Raw genomic sequence first — 22,409 nt, forward strand, 5'->3', positions numbered from 1 at the left:
GTGGCTCACGCCTGTAGTCCCAGCACTTTGGGAGGCCAAGATGGGTGGATCACTTGAGGTGGCACGCCTGGGCAACATGGCGAAACACCATCTCTACTAAAAATGCAAAAATTAGCCAGGTGGCACGCGCCTGTGGTCCCAGCTACTCAGGAGACTGAAGCATGAGAATCGCTTGAACCCAGGAGGCAGAGGTTGCAGTGAGCCGAGATCACACCACTGCACTCCAGCCTGGGCAACAGAGTAAGACTCTGTTTCAAAAAAAAAAAAAAAAATTAACTGAAAAATTGTCAATTCATATTTATGCATTGTTTTATCTTACTGCCCCTGTATTTGTCAGGGACATGTTGTCTTAACAGATTTTGGGCTTTGTAAAGAAGGAATTGCTATTTCTGACACCACTACCACATTTTGTGGGACACCAGAGGTAAGAAATATATCTCATTGTCATTTATATAATCATGTATAAAATGCAAATATGAATTACAGATTGCATATATAAATTTAAAATAAGAAAAGTAGAATAAAAACTGTCATTTCAGCTTCCAGCCAGCTGGAAATACCTGATAATCATGCCTTGATAGTTGGGTATTTTTAACTGTGATTGTTAGATACTGCAAGACCCTTTTGAATAATCCAACAAATATAAATTATGTTTATTTGTTTTTAGTGTTAGAAGTTTACCTTAGGCTTCTTTATGCATTTAATTATATTTCTTTTTTTGTTTTTGTTTTCTTCTAAGGTAAATATTGTAGAAAATTATATTTCTAATCCTTTAAAAATCACAAATCAGTGATGAAAGTGTTCTTTCTGTGACTATGTTAACAACATTGAATCACACACTTTAAATGGGTGAATTGTGTGATATGTGACTATTTTAATAAAGCTGTTTTTCTTTTAAAAAATGAGCTAAAGCAAATATGGCAAAATATTAACACTTGACTATATCTCAGTTGCAGTTTATTGGTTTCTCTTGTTTTTTATATGCTTGAAATATTTTGTAACAAAATTAAGTGTTTACTTACTAGAAGAAAATAAAGCAGTGGATATGGAAAAACAAATCACAAATCAGAATTTATTTATCAGAACATCCCATTTTCTAATCATGTTAGCTAGCAAAAAAAGTATCTATTTGTGACAATAGTAATGATCCTTACAAATCATGTAAAAGCTTTATTATTCATACTTCACACACATAAACAAGTTTAGTTTATTTTGAACTGTCCAAATTCCAAGGTATTTATAATGATTTTAGGTACCACATAATATTTCATCTTTATCGTGGAGTACTTGCAAATACAATGTTGAAAACGTGTGAGAGAATGGCTTCTAACTGAGTTCAGAAACTTAACTAAAAGTATCTCTAAGTAATAAATATTTACCTTGAAATGGGTTTTTCCTTCTTTTTTCTGTCTAACCCTAGTGCTTGTATATATTTATAACCATTGTGTTTTGGTTTCTGGATGAAGAAACATTCTTTGTTATTGTATATTAATTTCATAGTTAAAATATTTTGCCATTTCTTTTCTTTTTCTTTTCCTTTTTTTTTTTTTTTGAGATGGAGTCTCGCTTTGTCATCCAGGCTGGAGTGCAGTGGCGCAATCTCAGCTCACTGCAAGCTCCGCCTCCCAGGTTCACGCCATTCTCCTGCCTCAGCCCCCCGAGTAGCTGGGACTACAGGCGCCCGCCACCACGCCTGGCTAATTTTTTGTATTTTTGGTAGAGACGGGGTTTCACCGTGTTAGCCAGGATGGTCTCGATCTCCTGACCTTGTGATCCACCCGCCTCAGCCTCCCAATATTTTGCCATTTCTTTAGATCACATAAAAAAGCTTAAGAGGAAATTATTTTCTTACATGTATTTCATATGGGAAGAGGTAATATATTTTGGAATGTAAAATTCAAGTTCACTGTCTTAGATGTGTTAAGTTGTGATCAGTCTAAATTTCCTACAAATTAAAATGTAAATAGACATCTACAACTTATACAAGTTTTCTAAATAATATGTTAGAGAATTGCTGTTATAATTCTCAGATGAGAATGCAATTCTTTCTTTTTTACTGAAAAGAAAAAAAAGGATTATAATTGCTACATTAAGTATTCTTGCCGGGTGCCGTGGCTCATGCCAGTAATCCCAGCACTTTGGGAGACCAAAGTGGGCAGATTGCTTGAGCCCAGAAGTTCCAGACCAGCCTGGGCAACATGGCTAAACCCCCGTCTCTATGAAAAATACGAAAAACTATCCAGGTGTGGTGGCGCATGCCTCTAGTCCCAGCTCCTCAGGAGGCTGAGGTGGGAGTATCACCTGAGCCCAGGAAGTCAAGGCTGCAGTGAGCTGTGATTGTGCCACTGCATTCCAGCTTGGGCGACAGAGAAAGATCCTGTCTCAAAAAAACAAAAAAATTATTTAAGGGGAAAACATGAATAATGACCAAATGAACTTCTAAAATAATCTTTGAAAGACTTTCCCCACAAATACCTACATCACCTATTGGGAATTATAGATTCTACCTTCGCGATACTCTTATTTATTTTAACTGTATCACAGTTTCCAAGGAGAAATGCAGAATACATGTATTGTGAAGTGTTCTAGTTGACATTAGCTAAGAACCACTGGTGTAGAATGAGAATATCCAACCCACTGGAAATCTAGATAATTTGGTTTCAGTATGATAGCAACAACTAAAATTTGTTAAATTTCTCAATTATTTATAAATTTTGTCTTGATTTGTTTACTGACTTGCTCTAATATTTTATTGTTTTCTATAGTATCTTGCACCTGAAGTAATTAGAAAACAGCCCTATGACAATACTGTAGATTGGTGGTGCCTTGGGGCTGTTCTGTATGAAATGCTGTATGGATTGGTATGTATTTCTATACCTCATTATTCCAATGTATTATCATTGATTTGATTGTCTGTCTGTCTCTCCCACCTTAAGAATCTCATGGACACTTAGATAACACTAACAGAGCAGTAATAGTCTGGTTAAATGAACCCAAACCCACATTAGGAATAAGGACAAAAAGAGGCTGGGCATGGTGGCTCACGCCAGTAATCCCAGCACTTTGGGAGGCCAAGGCAGGCAGATCACTTGAGGCCAGGAGTTCGAGACCAGCCTATGCAACGTGGCGAAATCCCATCTCTACTAAAAATACAAAAAATTATCTGGGTGTGGTAGTGCATACTGTAGTCCCAGCTGCTTAGGAGGCGGAGGCCCAAGAATCGCTTGAACCCAGGAGGCAGAGTTTGCAGTGAGCCAAGATTGCACCACTGTACTCCAGCCTGGGTGACAGAGGGAGACTCTGTCTCAAAAAAAAAAAAAAAAAAAAAAAAAACCCTTTTTATTTGTTACTAGTTTTTTTAAATTAATATAATTGTTTCTCTGCTATTCTAATAACTACTTCAGATGTTCTTACCCCCTTGGCATTTTTAGAAATAGACAACTGGTTGTAATATTAAAATTATCTGCTTCCATTCAGTTTACTCAAATATCACTCTAATTTTAAGATAATGGACAAAAAATGATTTTGCATTTATCAATAAATTACTGTATTTCAGAAGATCTTTTGGTTTTTGCCTTTTATTTTGTTTAATAGATTTAATTAATACACAGGTGCTCAGCTTTTCCCATGATTGGAGATCACTCTGTTCCCATCCCTGAAAACACCATGTCTTAAAAATTTTCTTGAAAAAAGTGATGTTTATGCAGTCAGTTTGCCCAGTTCTTATTTAGTTAAAGACACATAGGCTGGCCAGAGCTTCTGATTAATGAGAATAAAGTTTTTTCACTACATTGAGTTAATATTATTCCAACCCAAAGCAAACAGTGTAGGCATTTTAGTTAGCTCAGATAGCTTTATAAGAGTACATGTATGTTTTTCTGTAGGCTTTTTGACATGTTTAGAAATAGTTCCTAGACTCCCTTTGTGGTCCCCTAAGTGTCCAGCAGCCTCATGCTGGGAACCATGTGCGAATCCCTGAGGCTGCTGCTACCGCTGATGTTAAATGCCACTGTCAGCCAAGACCTGAGCTGAGTGTCTATTTGCTTTTTATTGAAAACTGTGGCGCTTACAGTGAAATTCAGCACATGAAGTACATTTCAGAGCGTTTGTTTTATCTTGCTAGTTTCGAATGATAGATTCCTGTGAAAGCCAACACCATCTCTTCTTTGCCCTTGACTGTGACCTGCATGTTAAAAGATCTAGTTTTCTGGTTATGCTACTGACTTAGAACATTGGAAAACCACTTTATACCTGATTTCCCTTTAAGCACTATTTATTTGCCATCTTGATATTTCAGAATCCTTCAAATTTATTTAGAGGACTTTGAAAATATATCATTGCACATAAAATGCAGTTGATTCAAAAGAGAACATTTAAAACATACATTTTATTAATCAAACTTTTATTGTTTTAAAATGAAGTTTTATTTTGGCCAGCCACAGTGGCTCACGCCTGTAATCCCAGCACTTTGGGAGGCCAAGGCAGGCAGATCACCTTAGGTCAGGAGTTCAAGACCAGCCTGTCCAACATGGCAAAACCTCGTCTCTACTAAAAATACAAAAACTAGCCTGGCACAGTGGCATGCCCCTGTAATCCCAGATACTTGGGAGGCTGAGTCAGGAGAATCACTTGAACCTGGGAGGCGGAGGTTACAGTGAGTGGAGATCATGCCACTGCACTCCAGCATAGGCAACAAAGCGAGACTCCGTCTCAAAAAAAAACAAAAAACAAAAAAAGTCATATTTTAAAAGATAAGCTTTTTCTTTCCTACACAAAGGAAAGGAAAAGTGGCAAGCCTATAAAACTCCCTTAACTTTAAAAATTATGTATACTTTAATTTTTATTTTTACTTTTTTTGAGACAGAGTCTCACTGTGTTGCTCAGGCTGGAGTGTAGTAGAATGATCACGACTCACTGCAACCTTGACTTCCCAGGCTCTGATGCTTCTCCCACCTCAGCCTGCTGAGTAGCTTGGACTACAGGCATGCACCACCCCACCTAGCTTGCTTATTTATTTATTTATTTATTTATTTATTTATTTATTTATTTATAGTAGAGACAGGGTGTCGCCATGTTGCCTAGGCTGGTCTCAAACTCCTGAGCTCTAGTGATCTGCCCACCTCAGCCTCCCGAAGTGCTGGGATTTCCAGTGTGAGCCACTGTGCCTGGCGTCACTTTTTATTTTGTAAACTTCTGTATTGTTTGGATTTGTTACAACAAGCATATATTACTTTTGTAATTTTCACAAAAAGAGACTGAAAAGAAAAAAATGTCATTTTAATGTTTTAAGTCAGATTCATCTTATTTTATAAAAATACTGGTAACTAATATTTAAAAGGTAAAAACAAACCCACAAGGGTAAAATATTAGAGACCAGTCCTCTGGTGAATAAATTGGGTTTTTTTTTGTTTTTGTTTTTGTTTTTTAAAAAAGAACAGTAACATTTTACATGGTAATTCCCTCTTTGGAAAAATGTTTCTGGTGCTCTGGACACATTAATTCAAAAGGAAGTAGTTTTGTAGGTTACATATTACAACCTTGCAGATAGAACCTGAGTAGCATGATAATCTTCTTTCCTCTTATTCCCAGAGTACAGAAACCTGTACAGCTCATTTTTTTTCTCAAAAGTTGTTACTTTATTTATTTGAGATGGGGTCTCACTCTGTTGCCCAGGCTGGAGTGCAGTGGCGCAATCTCAGCTCACTGCATCCTCCGCCTCCCAGGTTTAACCGATTCTCATGCCTCAGTCTCCTGAGTAGATGAGACTACTGGCGTACACCACCATGCCCAGCTGGTTTTTTATTTTTTCAGTAGAGACGGTTTCACCATGTTGCCCAGGCTGGTCTTGAACTCCTGGCCTCAAGCAATCTGCCCACCTCAGCCCCCCAAAGTGCTGGGATTACAGGCGTGAGCCACCACGCCTGGTCTTTATTTTTACTTTAAACCTTTATAATTAGATGATTAACTAGCTAATGCTTGTGTTGAAGCTATACCCCAAGTCTTTTGGCTGTTGCGGTGGCATTTTTAATTCTGCAAAGTACAGTCATAATATTATCTCTGTCATAAGTACCTAAGAAACATTATCTTCAGGCCTCCATCTCTACTAGAAATCCCTTTGTTTCAGTGAGTTTATTCCCAAGTCTGAAATTAATGTTTGATCTGTCTTGAACTTCTATTTCCAATGATTCTGTCATTATGCCTATGATAAGGTTGGTGGTTTTCTCTAAAACAGGTACTACTACAAGTTGTATATAATTTAACAGCTGTCTACAAGGTGCTATTGAACAAACTGGCCCTAATTCATTCAGTGAACACTTATTAAGCTCTGTGATGTGTTCGGTTTTAGAATCTCTTTGCTTCAGGAAGCCACACTGCAGGTGTCTACACGTCCCAAGAGGTCCATACATTTTTTCAACTGACTGCTCCCTCAAGATTAAAGCCATTTTAACCCCATTTGCGCATAATTTGTTTACCACTAAGTTTATTTTGCTTTTTTTTTTTTCCAGCCTCCTTTTTATTGCCGAGATGTTGCTGAAATGTATGACAATATCCTTCACAAACCCCTAAGTTTGAGGCCAGGAGTGAGTCTTACAGCCTGGTCCATTCTGGAAGAACTCCTAGAAAAAGACAGGCAAAATCGACTTGGTGCCAAGGAAGACTTTGTATGTAACAGCTTTTCTAGCTCCAGCTTTATTTAAGCTTATTTAAAATTTGGAAATAAAGCTTTATTTTATATGGTATTTAATGGAATGAATACAATATGCGGAGAATAGCAACATGGAAAAAAAGCATACTTGTCTCCACAGTTTTCACCTGTATTTATATAAAACTATGTAGTATTTAAAGCACTTTCTGTTGCATACACTTTTGCCCTATCCACCACATACACTTTCGCACCCTATTATTTACTTGATTTTCATTTATTACAAATTCCCCTCCCCTTCTTTTTAAAAAGTGTTGTGTGGCATATTTTCACTACCTAAACTTTCTTTTGCTGTTTTTATTGCTAAATAATACTAACATTTTCATGAACTAATAACACAGAGACTAACCAACTAGTAAGCTTTTTGTTGAGGGTTTGGGACTATCTAAAGTCTAAATCATTTCCTTTAGCAGGAATTTGTTAAGTGCCTCCTGTCTGCATGAGGTAATGTCTTTTGCCTTGAACACTAAGTCACTTTTTTTTTTTTTTTTTTTTTTAAGAATTTGGTGAGACCTCCTTGAGATAATTAGGGAATCTGCATGTTTGTTTCAAATAAGGGTAATTAAATTTGTAGTGTAGTTACCGGCATTATGTTAGTGTGTCAGTAAATGCACAAAAATATTGAGGAATATGAACTTTTGAACTGCTTTCTCAGATATTCTTGGAGGCTGCTTATCAATTTTGAACTTGAGCTGTGAATAAAAGACTTTGCTGCTACTGCTTTACCCCTGCTCCCCAGTTCAGCTGGTAGCTCTGCCAACAACTTCCTTTCCGTTGTTCCAGACAGTCTTGCTAATATTTCACACCTCCTTGTCCCTTGGTCCATTTATTGAATTCATTGACAGAGATTGCAGCTCTAGATGAATCCAACTATCATCTCATGGGCTGCTGAACAGTGCTAAAGAAGGTAACAAACTGGGCATATTGGAAGCACTGTGAACCTCGTCTGTGCTTCCCCACTGTCTGGTAATACTCTTTGTTTCTCTGTGTAGCTTACTCTCTTCCTCTCTGTATTAACTATTTCACACCTTCTCTCCAGACTTCCCAGATTCCTTTTCTTCTTCTTCACTTTTAACAGATGATCTTGCCTTCTATTTTGTAAGGAAAATAGAACCATTAGAGTGGAGCTAACTTAGCTTCCTGCTATCAAATCCACAGACCTATATACACTTGCAGGATCCTGTCATTTTCTTCTTCGTATTGTAGTGGAAAAGGTCTGTTTCCACCTGTGCACTGTATCCTGTCCATTTGTAAGGAACCCTGTCCATGTTTGTTTGTTTTGCACAAATAACTGCTCCCCTTTTTTTCTGGTTCCTTCCAGTCAGTAATTAAATGTTATCAAATCTGTTGCTTCTTAAGCCAAAAAAACCCTCAGTCTTACTCTCCTGAGAGGTACTACTCTATCTCCTTCCCTTCTTAGCCAAACTTGTTGGAAGTTTTCTTTGTTCAGTCTCCCTTTCCCAAGCTCTTTCATTTCTCAATCTACCACAAAATAGCCAGTAGAATTGCTGGATACTACTTTTCCTCAACTTATGCCGCCCTCAGCAGCATTTAAACTTGCAACACTCTCCTGTTCCCTAGCCTTCTGCAAGAGCACACGTGCGTCTCATCTCAGGCTTTTCTTTCTGTATTTCTGGACCGTTCTCCATTATTTCCTGTGTAAGCTCCTTTTCAAACTTCAAGTGTTGCAGTGCCCTGTCGTCCTAAACCCTCTTTTCTTCCGTGCTGTCTTCCTGGGCAATCTCAATTGGTCCCATGGCTTTAGTTATCTATATGTTTTCATCTCACACATTTATATCTTCTGTACTCTTCAGCCCTCTCTTCTAAACTCTAGACTTACATAGTATCTGCCTGCTCAACATCACCACTTGGAGTTCCTGAGAGTACCTCAGATGCCGCTATTGTCCCCCTGTGCTCCCTTTTGTATTAAAGGACATCACTGTCCATGTGGCTATTCTGGCCAGAAATCTGAGAGGCATTCTTGATTCTTCTCTCTTCCTTACTTCCATATTCAACAAACAGCCAGTTCCTTTTTGCTGCCTGAATCTTTCCCATATCCAGACATTTCTAGCCCCACTGCTACTACTCTTGTCCTACTCTTTGTCATCTTTAGTCTGGTTACAGTGGTTGCTATTTTTCCCTTATCTGGTCTTGACTCTTCAATCTAATTCTCCCTGTAGCCAGGGTGATGTTTTGGGGGAATATTTTTTTTTTTTTTTTTTTTGAGACAGGGTTTTGCTCTGTCACCGATGCTGGAGTGCAGTGGTGTGATCACGGCTCACTGCAGCCTCAACTTCCCAGGTTCAAGTGATCCTCCCACCTCAGCCCCCAAATAGCTGGATTACAGGCATGTGCCACCACACTGTTTTGTAGAGATGGGAGTCTCATCATATTGCCCAGGTTGGGTTTGAACTCCTGGGTTCAAGTGATCCTCCCACTTCGGACTCCCAAAGTGCTGGGATTATAGGTGTAAGCCACTGCGCCTGGCCCAGGGTGGTGGTTTAAAAAACATTTCTCACCAACCTGATGCTTTAAAAAACAAACAAATAGAAAAACCAGTTGTGACATTCTCATAACTAAATCCCCTTGATGGCTTCTTATGACCCTAGAGCAAAATCCAAAATGTTTCATGTAGACCTGATATGATACAGCCAGTTTAGCTCTTGAGCTTCACCTTATGTGACAGTCCCATCCCTCCCTACACTGCAGCCATATTGGACTCTCATTTTCTTGACCATACTAACCTCTTTGCCACCTCAGAGCCTTTCTGGAACATGCTCTCCCCATTCTTTTGTCTGGCTTAATTCTTACTCATTTTTCAGACCTCTGGTGAGATACCACTTTCTCTAAGAAGTCTTTTTTAACCCACCAAATTAGGTTGGATCCTACTTTATACACTCCTGTGGCACCTTGAAGGAAAAATAGCTAGAGTCAATACTGTGCCATTGTTTGGTAATACCAACCCTGAGTGGGATATTTTTTTATTAGTAGAACTCATGACTGATTTTATTTCTACTCCACTGTATAAAGCTCTCTGCCCAACTTCTTTACCCACCTACTCCAGTAATAACACTAATTCTTTGTAACTCTGTAGTGCTTTATTCTTTTCATAGCACTTTACATCCATACTTTACACTGATCCTTAAAACATACTTCCCCTGAAGTATTAAGGGCAGAAAGGTTATCCCCATTTTACCACTGAGGAAACTGACTGTGAAGAGAATACAACTTAAGTTTAAGTAGGTCATTCTAAGTAACTTTCTTTCAGTCTTTCTATTGCTTACATGAATAACATCATTTTGCCACACAAATAACATACACATGTTCCTAAAAAGAGTTATTGAGGGGCAAAATAGTAATAGTTTGGCTTCATAAAATTATGCAGTTAGTACTTAATATATTCTTCGGCATTAGTAAAACAAATTTTTTTTAATATTCCAGCTTGAAATTCAGAATCATCCTTTTTTTGAATCACTCAGCTGGGCTGACCTTGTACAAAAGAAGATTCCACCACCATTTAATCCTAATGTGGTAAGTATATATCCAAATCTTTCTTTCTAGAATCGTGAAACTTAATAGCAGTTCATTGTAAGTTTGAAACTAGATCTCAGAATCACCTGAATTAAATGGAGTCATTACCTAAATATTTGTGAAATATGTCACTCAGGGTTGTCTAGTATAACTAATAACTTCAGGGAGACCAGTAAGATTATAGTTAGATTAGGTTGATAAAAATGTCTTCCAGCACAGTAATTGTAAAGTGTTTCTTTGGAGCATGTATAAGAAAAGAATGAACTCAACAAGTCAGCCAGGCATGGTGGCTCACACCTGTAATCCCAGCACTTTAGGAGGCTGAGGTGGGCAGATCACTCCCAGCACTTTGGGAGGCCGAGGTGGGTGGATCACTTGAGGCCAGGAGTTCAAAACCAGCCTGGCCAACATGGCGAAACCCTGTCTCTACTAAAAATACAAAAAAAAATTATCCGGGTGTGGTGATGCATGCCTTTACACTCCCAAACTACTAGGGAGGCTGAAGCATGAGAAACACTTGAACTCAGGAGGTGGAGATTGCAGTGAGTCGAAATTGCACCACTGCACTCCAGCCTGGGTGATAGAGCGAGACCCTGTCTCAAAATAAAATTAAAAAAAAAAAAACAGGTATAGACAAACATTATTAATAAAATCATATTAATGTAAATTGTTACTTTCTTGGGAAAACAATAGGATAGTATTATAAAAATGTTCATGTTAGCTAGACTTGTTAAATCTACTTGATGGAAACATTTCACCTAAAGATAATTTGTTTAAAGCAAAAAGCCATATTAAAGATGAGCTTTATACTATTAACAGTGTTAGAAAATTTTGGAAAATACAGTAAATACATAACAACAGGGAAATTGTTAATAATCATCAGTAGGCCAGTAATGATGTTAGTCACTAATGATAGCTTCCTTTGTATAGGGATATACACTTTGTATGTGTTATAATATATAATTTACTCTTAAGCTACCAGCTTACTACTATTACTGTTTTTCTTATTACACATTTTATAAATGAGGAAATAGAAGCTCAGAGATGTCTCATAGCTGGATAGTAGAGCCAGGATTCCAATATATGCGTGATTCCAGAGTCATTATTCTGTTTCCTTATGCTCTGTTGTCTTTTCTTGTTAAATTATATAAAAATGAGCAAGCACTTAGAAAATCCTTATAAAGTTACATGAAAACATGGTAATTACAATTTTTGTGACTTATAATTATAGCAGTAAAAATAAGGATAAGGACTAGAATAGAATATAAGCCAAGACTGATTTGGAGTTTTAAGATCATAGGTGAATTTATTTTCTTTTTTTAAGTTTTTTGATGTTGCTGCAAAACTTAAGGAATCCTTTTTTTTTTTTTTTTTTTTTTTGAGACAGAGTCTTGCTCTGTCGCCAGTCTGGAGTGCAGTGGCGCGATCTTGGCTCACTACAACCTCCGCCTCCCTGGTTCAGGAGATTCTCCTACCTCAGCCTCCCAAGTAGCTGGGACTACAGGCATGCGCCACCACGCCCAGCTAATTTTTGTATTTTTAGTAGAGATGGGGTTTCACCATGTTGGCCAGATGGTGTCGATCTTTTGACCTCATGATCCACCCGCCTCAGCCTCCCAGAGTGCTGGGATTACACGCATGAGCTACTGTGCCCGGCCAGGAATACTTTTTTAATAAATTAGAGCAGATAAGGAGATCAGGAAAGTATTATTTAATAGTCTATCAGGCTTTGTTCCAGGTTAATTTCTATACATAGCTCATAGCTGGTATTAATTAATAGGTGTAATATTTTACACCTACATACATAATATTTGTAGACTGACTGACTTCATGTAGTGCATCCAGGAATGACTCCATTAGGAATAATTTCGGTCCCAAATTTCTAGAGTTTGTGGTAGGAAACTAAGACTCTTAAGAATTATTTTATTTTTCTCTTTAGACTAAGTATCTTAGCAGAATTTAATTACATTCAAATAAATATATCATCAAGCATGTTGAAGAATGTTGAAGGGACTCCTAAGCAACACTGGAAATGGAAACAGTATTGACTTCAGACTCAGATAGCTCCAGCATTGGATCCCTGCTCTTCTATGATTAACTAGAAGTTAAGCTTCTCTATACTTTTTTTTCTTTCACAACATGAGCTTTGAGGTTTAATTTAGGTAACATTTGTAAAGCACCTCAGTGCATTGCACACAGTAGATATTTAATTAATAATACCTTTTTTTAATTCTTTTCCCTCTGGGAATGTTTTCATTAAATATTTATTGGTAACTTAGAAAACACAAGTAGAACATGGGCTCTGTCTTCAAGAAAATTACAGTTAAGGGGATAAAATATATAAAGAGAAGAGTTAAATAATTCTATGTTTAGTGCATATTAGGCATTCAGTGTTGTGGAATTAAAATATGTAATGTGAGGCAAAAAAGCAGATGCCTCATAATAACTTATGATTGCATCTGTGGGAAAAACAGTTGACAGAAATAGTCTTTGATGCTTACTCTTTCAGTGAATAAAATGAATTAGTTGATTTTCCAATCGGTTAGTGTTTTATATTTTAATAGGGTAGTTACTAGGGAAAGGGAGAGTGGGGTTATTGACCATGCTAAGCTTCAGTATTTCTATGATGAATGTTTCTAGCAGTTACTGAGAATTATTTCAAAATCTAACAGGTTGCATAAAGTATTTACTTCAATTATATGTGTCCAACTAGTCTACATTAAAAAAGGACTGGAAGCAGTTTATTTCTCTGTTTACAATGGGTAAAATGCATTCTGGATTCTCTTTTTTTAGCCCACAGAATTGAGGTTATACTGCTAAATATTTAATTTATCCTAATAAGAATTGGTTGCTTAATTTTATTCTCTCAGCAGCTGATAGAGAAAGGATAATAGCAGTGACCTAAAATGGGCTAATACAAACCATGAATGGGTACATTATTATATTTTAATCTTTTTTTGCTATAAAACTTATCAACAAGTAGTTTTTGATACTTTAAAAGATTTCTCATTATACCATTTCGGAACAACCAACACAAAACAAGTGCCTCCAAAATAAGCCGTATTTAGGTAGGATTTCATTGAAGCTCCATCTGAAATCCTGTAAGTTACTATGAAGCATATCCTAACATTCCATTCTATGTTGGGTACACCCAGGTTTTGATCCTTGCCTCCACTTTAATCCTCAGAAAAACTTACTTTGTTGCTGCTTTCATTTTGGCATCTCTTAGAATACAACTTGCTAAGGGTTTTGACTCCCTTTTTGAAATATTGACTATTCTGCATAGCTAATAGTTTACAGTTCTGTGGCCTCAGTCCCTACTTTAGGAATTTCTGTTTATTACATATAAAATTTTGGAAAAGTATGAAAACAAAAATTGACTGCTTGGTGGGAGAGGGCTCACCAACATTTCAAATTAGAGGTTCCCCCCAAATAATCCTTAAAGTAAAAGTATAGCATAGAAAATAATCCCTAAATTAAAAGTATGGCATAGTCCTGCCCTGAAGGGGGTAGATGTGGTATTGAGCTGTGATAGGAGTGGCTTGGCCATGCTCCAAGTGGGTCATTCAGAAGCCACATCTGAGAGGTGGGTCTGGACCTGGGGGGAGGCTGGCATCATTCTAACAATTCTGTAAGCTGAAAGAAAATATTCATTTCTGGGTCAATGAATCACTCTTATTAATGGTTGTTAAAATTAGTTAAGTGTTAAGGGATTGGGTGTGGTAGGAAGGGATTACTATGAAAATACAGGGGTCCAGAAAGGACAGATTGGAGTGAGGGTGCATATTAGTACCAGGACATATTTATGTTATACATTTCCAAGTGGAGGGGAGAAAAAAGGAATTAACTTCTAGTGCGTGCCCACTGTGTACCCAGCATTGTGTTAGGTCCTTGATATGCATTGCCTTGGTTCCCAAACCCTCTGAAGAATTAAAACCTAGGTATGGGCTGAACACAGTGGCTCATACCTGTAATCCCAGTACTTTGGGAGGCTGAGGCAGGTGGATTTTTTGAGCCCAGGAGTTCAAGACCAGCCTGGGCAACATGGCAAGACCCTGTCTCTAACAACAACAACAACAACAAAAAGTGAAAATTAGCTGGGTGTGGTGGCACGCACCTGTGGTCACACCTATTCCAGGAACCTAAAAGTAACCCTTGCAAGACCTAAGATAATGTTTTTGTGTATAATCTTTAAGTGAAGAATGCTTTTTAAAGCATGACCCAGAAGCCATAAGAGAAAAAAGTTGGTAGATTTGACTACATAAAATTTCATTTCATTTCATTTATTGATTGATTGATTGAGACAGAGTCTTGTTCTGTCGCCAAGGCTGGAGTATAGTGGTGCAATCTCGGCTCACTGAAACCTCCGCCTCCCGGGTTCAAGCTGTTCTCCTGCCTCAGCCTCCCAAGTAGCTGGGACTACAGGTGTGCACCACCATGCCCAGCTAATTTTTGTATTTTTAGTAGAGATGGGGTTTCACCATGTTGGCCAGGCTGATCTTGAACTCCTGACCTTAGGCAATCCGCCTATCTGGGCCTCCCAAAGTGCTGGGATTACAGGCATGAGCCACCGCACCCAACCGACTACATAAGATTTTAGTATATGTGCTGCCGAAGTGAGCACTGACCACATAAAATTTAGAAATATCTGCATAAAAATTACTATAAGCAAATAACAAACTGGGAAAATTTTCCTTAACACCTAAAGCATTCTTACTAGTCAATGGGAAGAAACACCAACAACCAATAGAAACATAGACAAAAGACAGAAAACATGAAGTTACAGAAAAAGAAATACAAATAGCTTTCAATTATATGAAAAGAAGTTCATACTGACGGTTGAAGAAGTGCAATATTAAACCATAACAGGTTACCATTTTTCACCTGGCAGATTAACAAAGATCAAACAGTTAGCTATTCTAGGGTTTGATGAAGTAGGTGTTCTCATACAGTGTTCTCAGTACTTTACATGTATCCTTTTACTAAATCCTGACAACAATCCTATGAGATAGTACTGTAATTTTCCATATATATGGATGAGTTAACTGAGGCACAAAGAAAGTTAAATAACTTTTCTCAAAATTAAAGTTCCAGAACTAGAATTTGAACTCTAACTCTCAGATACTCTGAAGGCAGAGCCCTCAACTGTTCTTTTTTTTTTTTTTGAGATGGAATCTTGCTCTGTCACCCAGGCTGGAGTGCAGTGGCACGATATTGGCTCACTGCAACCTCCGCCTACCGGGTTCAAGTGATTCTCCTGCCTTAGCCTCCCAAGTAGCTGAGACTACAATAGCTGGCCACCATGCTGGGCTAATTTTTTGTATTTTTAGTAGAGATGGGGTTCCATCGTGTTAACCAGGATGGTCTCGACCTCCTGACCTTGTGATCCGCCTGCCTCATCCTCCCAAAGTGCTGGGATTACAGGCATGAGCCACCGTGCCTGGCCCGCTCTCACTCTTAATAAACCACATAGTACAGGTTGAGTATCCTTTATCTGAAATGTTTGGGACCAGAAGTGTTTTGGATTTGGGATTGTTTTTTGGATTTTTGGATTTACTTACTGATTGAGCATCCCATATCTGAAAATCTGAAATTCAAAATGCTCCAGTGACTGTCATGTAGATGCTCAAAATTTTTGGCTTTTGGAGCATTTTGGATTTTGGATTTTCAGATTTGGGATGCTCAGCCTGTATTATTCCTGTCAGTACCAGCCATGAGCCATGAGGGCATTATAAAGGCAAGTCAGAGAACATTGCCATCATTTGAGTGCCTTCTACATGTTAGATTCTGGAAATTTTATTAACGCATCAGATCCTTGCAATAACCTCAGGAGGTAGGTGATAGTATTCTTACTTTATGGAAGAAGAAACAAGCTCATAGAGATAGAGTAGTTTATATAACGAATTACACAACTGTAATCCAAGCACTTTGAGAGGCCGAGACGGGCATATCACTTGAGGTCAGAAGTTCGAGACCAGCCTGGCCAACATGGTGAAACCCTGTCTCTACTAGAAATACAAAAATTAGCTGGGCATGGTGGCACATATCTGTAGTCCCAGCTACTCAGAAGTCTGAGGCACAAGAATTGCTTGAACCCAGGAAGTGGAGGTTTGAGTGAGCCAAGATCACGCCACTGCACTCTAGCCTGGGCAACAGAATGAGATTCTGTCTCAAAAAAAAAGGACAGCTAGCAAATTTTGTAGCCAGAATCCAAGAGCCCATGCTTCAAGGATTGTATATAAGAATTTGATGAGGAAAAAACCATACATACGTACATACATACATACATATAAAACTTCTAGCATTCTTTGTCTCTATGGGGGATTTTCTCATATGGGAGGATCTAGCATTCTGGGTTTTTGTGGTCTCTGCTCAGTTTGTAGATGTACCAGGCTGTTATCCTTTGCTTATAATATCCACTCTGAATTTCTATCAGCACACCCTCAGTTAGACTTAATGACTTGAACATTTTAAGGGTTCCCTTCCCTGTAGAGCAGAAATAACCTAGAAATTCAGGGATGGACTTTAAGAATGAATCACCTGAATTTGTATCCCAGTTTTTATCTATAAATATATTGGGGCTGGGCATGGCGGCTCATGGCTGTAATCTCAACACTTTGGGAGGCTGAGGTGGGAGGATTGCTTGAGCCTAGGAGTTCAAGACCAGCCTGGACAACATGGTGAGAACTTGACTCTACTAAAAATAAAAAATAAGCCAGGTATAGTGACACATGCCTGTGGTCCCAGCTACTTGGAGAAGGCTAAGGCAGGATGATCCCTTGAGCCCAGGAGGTCGAAGCTGCAGTGAGCTGTGATTGTGCCACTGCATTCCAGCCTGGACTACAGGATGAGACCCTGTCTCAAAAAAGTGTGTGTGTATGTGTGTGTGTGTGTGTGTGTGTGTGTGTGTGTGTGTGTGTGTAGGAAAGGTAGAGTCTATTAGCTTGTATCAGATTTGTAAAGGAAAGTTAACCACTGCCTTTGAGCCTAAGCAGCCATCATGCTTAATTTTCATATCAGGACTCGGAAGCCCTCCAGAGCTAAGGGTGCCCTAGTCAAATGCTTCATTGACAGTCTCTGTAGCACAGTAAGAGTCATCTTTCACAATTTTACTTATAACCAAGAACCTAATTAAATAAGTGATAACAAAAAATTATTATTTTACTTATAACCGCTTCATTTATTCATCAGAAGGCTTTACCCACCCATAATTGAGAAACCAGATGGACAGGCGTTTTATGGAAGCTCAAATACAAAATGCTAGGACGGGTGCGGTGGCTCACGCCTGTAATTCCAGCACTTTGGGAGGCTGAGGCAGGTGGATCACGAGGTCAGGAGATCAAGACCAAGACTGGCTAACTCGGTGAAACCCCGTCTCTACTAAAAATAGAAAAAATTAGCCGGGCATGGTGGTGGGCGCCTGTAGTCCCAGCTACTCGGGAGGCTGAGGCAGGAGAATGGCGTGAACCCGGGAGGCGGAGCTTGCAGTGAGCCAAGATGGCGCCACTGCAGTCCAGCCTGGGTGACAGAGCGAGACTCTGTCTCAAAAAAAAAAAAAAAATACAAAATGCTATCCTGAAAACCTACCTGAGACCTTTTTCTAAACTTGGGTGTAGTGTGAGGCAGTGATGGGTAGAGAGAAAGGGGATCAGTGACAAGCCTTGAGATTTAAATTAACAATGAATCTCTGTTTGTGAGCCTTCCTTACTTTTCTGTCTCCTCCCCCAACTCAAAAAGAACCTTAACTGTTAGAATAAGCTTGTTCAGTGCACAGTCTGTGGGCTACATGAGGCACAGGATGGTTTTGAATGCGGCCCAACACAAATTCTTAAACTTTCTGTAAAACATTATGAGACCTTTTTTGCATTTTTTTGTTTGTTTTTTAGCTCATCAGCTATTGTTAATGTTGGTGAGTGTGGTCCAAGACCATTCTTCTTCTTCCAATGTGGCCCAGGGGACCAAAAGATTGGACACCCCTGTTTTAGGAGGACAGATAACTTGACCTAAATAATAAAGGTCAGGAAAGGAAAAGCAGAAAAGCGTTTCAAGGGAATGAATTAGGAAGACATCTAACCTTGCCAGGAATAAACACACAAATTCATAAAGGAGTTGTAATAAAGGACTAAATTGGGCCAGGCGCGGTGGCTCACACCTGTAATCCCAGCACTTTGGGAGGCTGAGGCAGGTGAATCACAAGGTCAGGAGTTCGAGACCAGCCTGGCCAACATGATGAAACCCTGTCTGTACTAAAAATACAAAAAGTTAGCTGGGCGTGGTAGGTGGGCGCCTGTAATCCCAGCTACTCGGGAGGGTGAGGCAGGAGAATTGCTTGAACCCAGGAGGCGGAGGTTGCAGTGAGCCAAGATCGCGCCACTGGCATGCCAGCCCAGGTGGCAGTGTGAGACTCTGTCTCAAATAAATAAATAAATAAAGGATTAAATTAATGAAAGAAAAGCTAAGGTGAATAATACTGTGCTTTTGATGTTTTAGGCTGGACCAGATGATATCAGAAACTTTGACACAGCATTTACAGAAGAAACAGTTCCATATTCTGTGTGTGTATCTTCTGACTATTCTATAGTGAATGCCAGTGTATTGGAGGCAGATGATGCATTCGTTGGTTTCTCTTATGCACCTCCTTCAGAAGACTTATTTTTGTGAGCAGTTTGCCATTCAGAAACCATTGAGCAAAATAAGTCTATAGATGGGACTGAAACTTCTATTTGTGTGAATATATTCAAATATGTATAACTAGTGCCTCATTTTTATATGTAATGATGAAAACTATGAAAAAATGTATTTTCTTCTATGTGCAAGAAAAATAGGGCATTTCAAAGAGCTGTTTTGATTAAAATTTATATTCTTGTTTAATAAGCTTATTTTTAAACAATTTAAAAGCTATTATTCTTAGCATTAACCTATTTTTAAAGAAACCTTTTTTGCTATTGACTGTTTTTTCCCTCTAAGTTTACACTAACATCTACCCAAGATAGACTGTTTTTTAACAGTCAATTTCAGTTCAGCTAACATATATTAATACCTTTGTAACTCTTTGCTATGGCTTTTGTTATCACACCAAAACTATGCAATTGGTACATGGTTGTTTAAGAAGAAACCGTATTTTTCCATGATAAATCACTGTTTGAAATATTTGGTTCATGGTATGATCGAAATGTAAAAGCATAATTAACACATTGGCTGCTAGTTAACAATTGGAATAACTTTATTCTGCAGATCATTTAAGAAGTAACAGGCCGGGCGCGGTGGCTCACGCCTGTAATCCCAGCACTTTGGGAGGCTGAGGCGGGCAGATCACCTGAGGTCAGGAGTTGGAGACCAGCCTGACCAACATGGACAAACCCCGTCTCTACTAAAAATACAAAATTGGCAGGGTGTGGTGGCACATGCCTATAATCCCAGCTACTTGGGAGGCTAAGGCAGGAGAATCGCTTGAACCCGGGAGGCGGAGGTTGCAGTGAGCCGAGATCGCACCATTGCACTCCTGCCTGGGCAACAAGAGTGAAACTCCATCTCCAAAAAAAAAAAGAAAAAGTAACAAAAGGAAATTATTTGTTTTTGAAATACCAGTTCAACTTTGTGGATTATTTTTCCTCTGAAGGAAAAGAAAAGGCTTAATGGTTAGGATTTTTAAGTATTCCCAAAGATCTGAAGGGTAATAAAATGTACTGGATTTTTTAAGGTGGTACCAAAAATGAATGTCTGTCATATATTTATATTACAAATACATTATATTTATGTTCTATTCATCTTTTGAATGTTTAGTATGCTATTAAGTCATTCTGAATCTTTGTATTTGCTTTTGCAAATAGGTATTTCAAAGCTCTTTTCCTAACTGGTTAAGTAAAATAAAAAATTGAGCTTTCTAGAATATTTGCCTAATTGGGAATTAAAAAGTAAAATAATAGGCCAGGCATGGTGGCTCATGCCTATAAGCACCCTGGGAGGCCGAGGCAGGCAGATTATTTGAGCTCAGGAGTTTGAGACCATCCTGGGCAACATGGCGAAACCCTATCTCTACAAAAAATACAAAAATTAGCCAGACATGGTGGCACATGCCTTTAGTCCCAGCTACTCTGGAGGCTGAAGTTGGAGGATGGCTTGAGCCCACGAGATGGAAGTTGCAGTGAACTGAAATTGTGCCACTGCACTTTTCAGCCTGGGTGCCACAGCGAGACCCTAGTTAAGAGAAAAAAAAAGTAAAAACAAATTGTGGGTCAAAGTAAATGTATACAGTTTTATTACAATGTAACAAAAGTTGAAAATCAGGCAGATGTGTATTCAGTATCCAATTCAATATATCTTAGAAAAAGCACAGGAAACAGACCTTAAAATTGTAACCTACCAACTAACTTACATGCTTATAAAAGTAAAGGAGAATAACTGGCCGGGCACGGTGGCTCATGCCTATAAAATTCCAGCACTTTGGGAGGCCAAGGCAGGAGGATCACTTGAGCCTATGAGTTCAAGACCAGCCTAGGCAATGTAGTGACACCTCATTTCTATTTATTTTAAAAAAAAGAGAGAGTAACTACAGAAGAACTTTAAAAAATAAAAAATAAGCTTACCTTGGATTCTTGGCTTAGAGTAGAGGTTTTTTTTAAGTTATGGAGGAAACATTTTTGTAAAAGTTTAATGACCCACTTTAGATGCTCCAAGAACAAGCATCCCTTCCATGTATGTCTTGAGAAAGAAATCACAGAAGCATTTCTCACCAATACTCTTTGGCTTAAAATGTTCAGCAGAATTGGGCAGTGGGGGTGACTTTTCTTATATTAATAATATTTACATCCAATACACTGAATCTTCCTTTAGAGGTAAGACTTTAATATCTATACTGTAAATATTTGGTTTATTTGGCACTACTGTAAGTTTTGTTTTTCACAAAGCTCTTATTATGAAGCAAAATAAAAATTCTAGTTTCTTGTATGATTTTTTGTACTCATTCATTCCTGTTAAGCTGCCAAAAATTAAAGTGCAATATTGTATATTTTTAAGAACAAATTTAAAATAGAATTTTGATGTTTCTCAGATCACAAGAAATACAAATCTATATAGTATAATAAAATCAGCAAAAAGATCAACTAATGTCTGTCATTATTTGAAATTGGTAATGGTTGCAATGGTCATTATAAAATGAATTATTTATATGTGTGTGGGGGAAAAATAAAATGTGAACAGAAATTATTTGGACACATGAATTACTAGATTATCATAGGCTTATGTGTATAATATTCAGAGAGCAAAATGTTTTCTAAGTTTCAAGTTTACCTTTTCTCTCATAGCATAAGTCTTTTAGGAAAATGTATGCCCTTTGAATAACCATTTCATGGTTATTATCAAAATATACCAAAGGTCTAAATGAAGACTATAATATTTTTAATGTTACCCATACCTCCCATTTTATTGCATATGGTACAAAATAGGGCTTCCCAACCATTGTCACATCATAATACACACTGAAAATTACCAAATTTGTCACACTTGGGGAATAGGTGTCCAACGATGCAGACAGTGGTAGCAGATCCTCTGTATGAAGTTTTCATATGCAATTTACAAAGAAAGCCAGCAAACTGTTCAGATATCATTTCAGCAGGAGTAAACATTTGAATGAGAGTTTAAATATTCTGAATTTTTATCACTGAAAAATTTATCATTACCAATATCTTTAGCATGTTTGTAACAAATATATTGATTTTCCACAGCCAAATGATACTACAGAACTGTACACAAACATTTTGTAAGTCATTCTTTTGTGTATAATGTACTCTATGAAAAGTAGGGATAGGCATGAGCATTTTTGGTAATGCTGTAATGACCTTTTCAATACAGTGTTAAAATTGATAACTTCATCCCTCATACAAGCAGTTTGGAAATTAGGTCTGTTTTTTAAAGTGGGATTTCCCATTCATTCATTCATTCATTTATTGAGACTGAGTCTCACCCTGTTGCCCAGGCTGGAGTGCAGTGGTGCAATCTCGGCTCACTGCAACCACCACCTCCCAGGTTCAAGCGATTCCCGTTCTTCAGCCTCCTGAGTAGTTGGGATTACAGGCATGAACCACCACACCCAACTAATTTTTGTATTTTTTAGTAGAGACAGGGTTTCACCATGTTGGCCAGGCTGGTTTGGAACTCCTGGCCTCAAGTGATCTGC

At 38.2% G+C, this 22,409-nt stretch overlaps 2 protein-coding genes across 4 annotated transcripts in view; both read left to right on the forward strand.

The window, feature by feature from the left end:
* Nucleotides 1-21,336, forward strand: part of C8orf44-SGK3 (C8orf44-SGK3 readthrough) — a 194,427-nt gene extending 173,091 nt beyond the window's left edge. The window contains exons 15-19 of the mRNA NM_001204173.2: nt 338-424; nt 2,766-2,861; nt 6,507-6,662; nt 10,145-10,234; nt 18,725-21,336. Coding sequence (NP_001191102.1) covers nt 338-424; nt 2,766-2,861; nt 6,507-6,662; nt 10,145-10,234; nt 18,725-18,895 — 600 coding nt within the window. The 3' untranslated portion in view covers nt 18,896-21,336. The remainder of the gene's footprint in view (nt 1-337; nt 425-2,765; nt 2,862-6,506; nt 6,663-10,144; nt 10,235-18,724) is intronic.
* Nucleotides 1-21,336, forward strand: part of SGK3 (serum/glucocorticoid regulated kinase family member 3) — a 149,242-nt gene extending 127,906 nt beyond the window's left edge. For 2 of the 3 annotated variants that reach the window (NM_001033578.3, NM_013257.5), the window contains exons 13-17: nt 338-424; nt 2,766-2,861; nt 6,507-6,662; nt 10,145-10,234; nt 18,725-21,336. In NM_001033578.3, coding sequence (NP_001028750.1) covers nt 338-424; nt 2,766-2,861; nt 6,507-6,662; nt 10,145-10,234; nt 18,725-18,895 — 600 coding nt within the window. In that variant the 3' untranslated portion in view covers nt 18,896-21,336. The remainder of the gene's footprint in view (nt 1-337; nt 425-2,765; nt 2,862-6,506; nt 6,663-10,144; nt 10,235-18,724) is intronic. The other variant, NM_170709.3, reaches the window with a different exon arrangement.

Source organism: Homo sapiens, chromosome 8, assembly GCF_000001405.40.
Source record: "Homo sapiens chromosome 8, GRCh38.p14 Primary Assembly".
Taxonomy (NCBI): domain Eukaryota; kingdom Metazoa; phylum Chordata; class Mammalia; order Primates; family Hominidae; genus Homo; species Homo sapiens.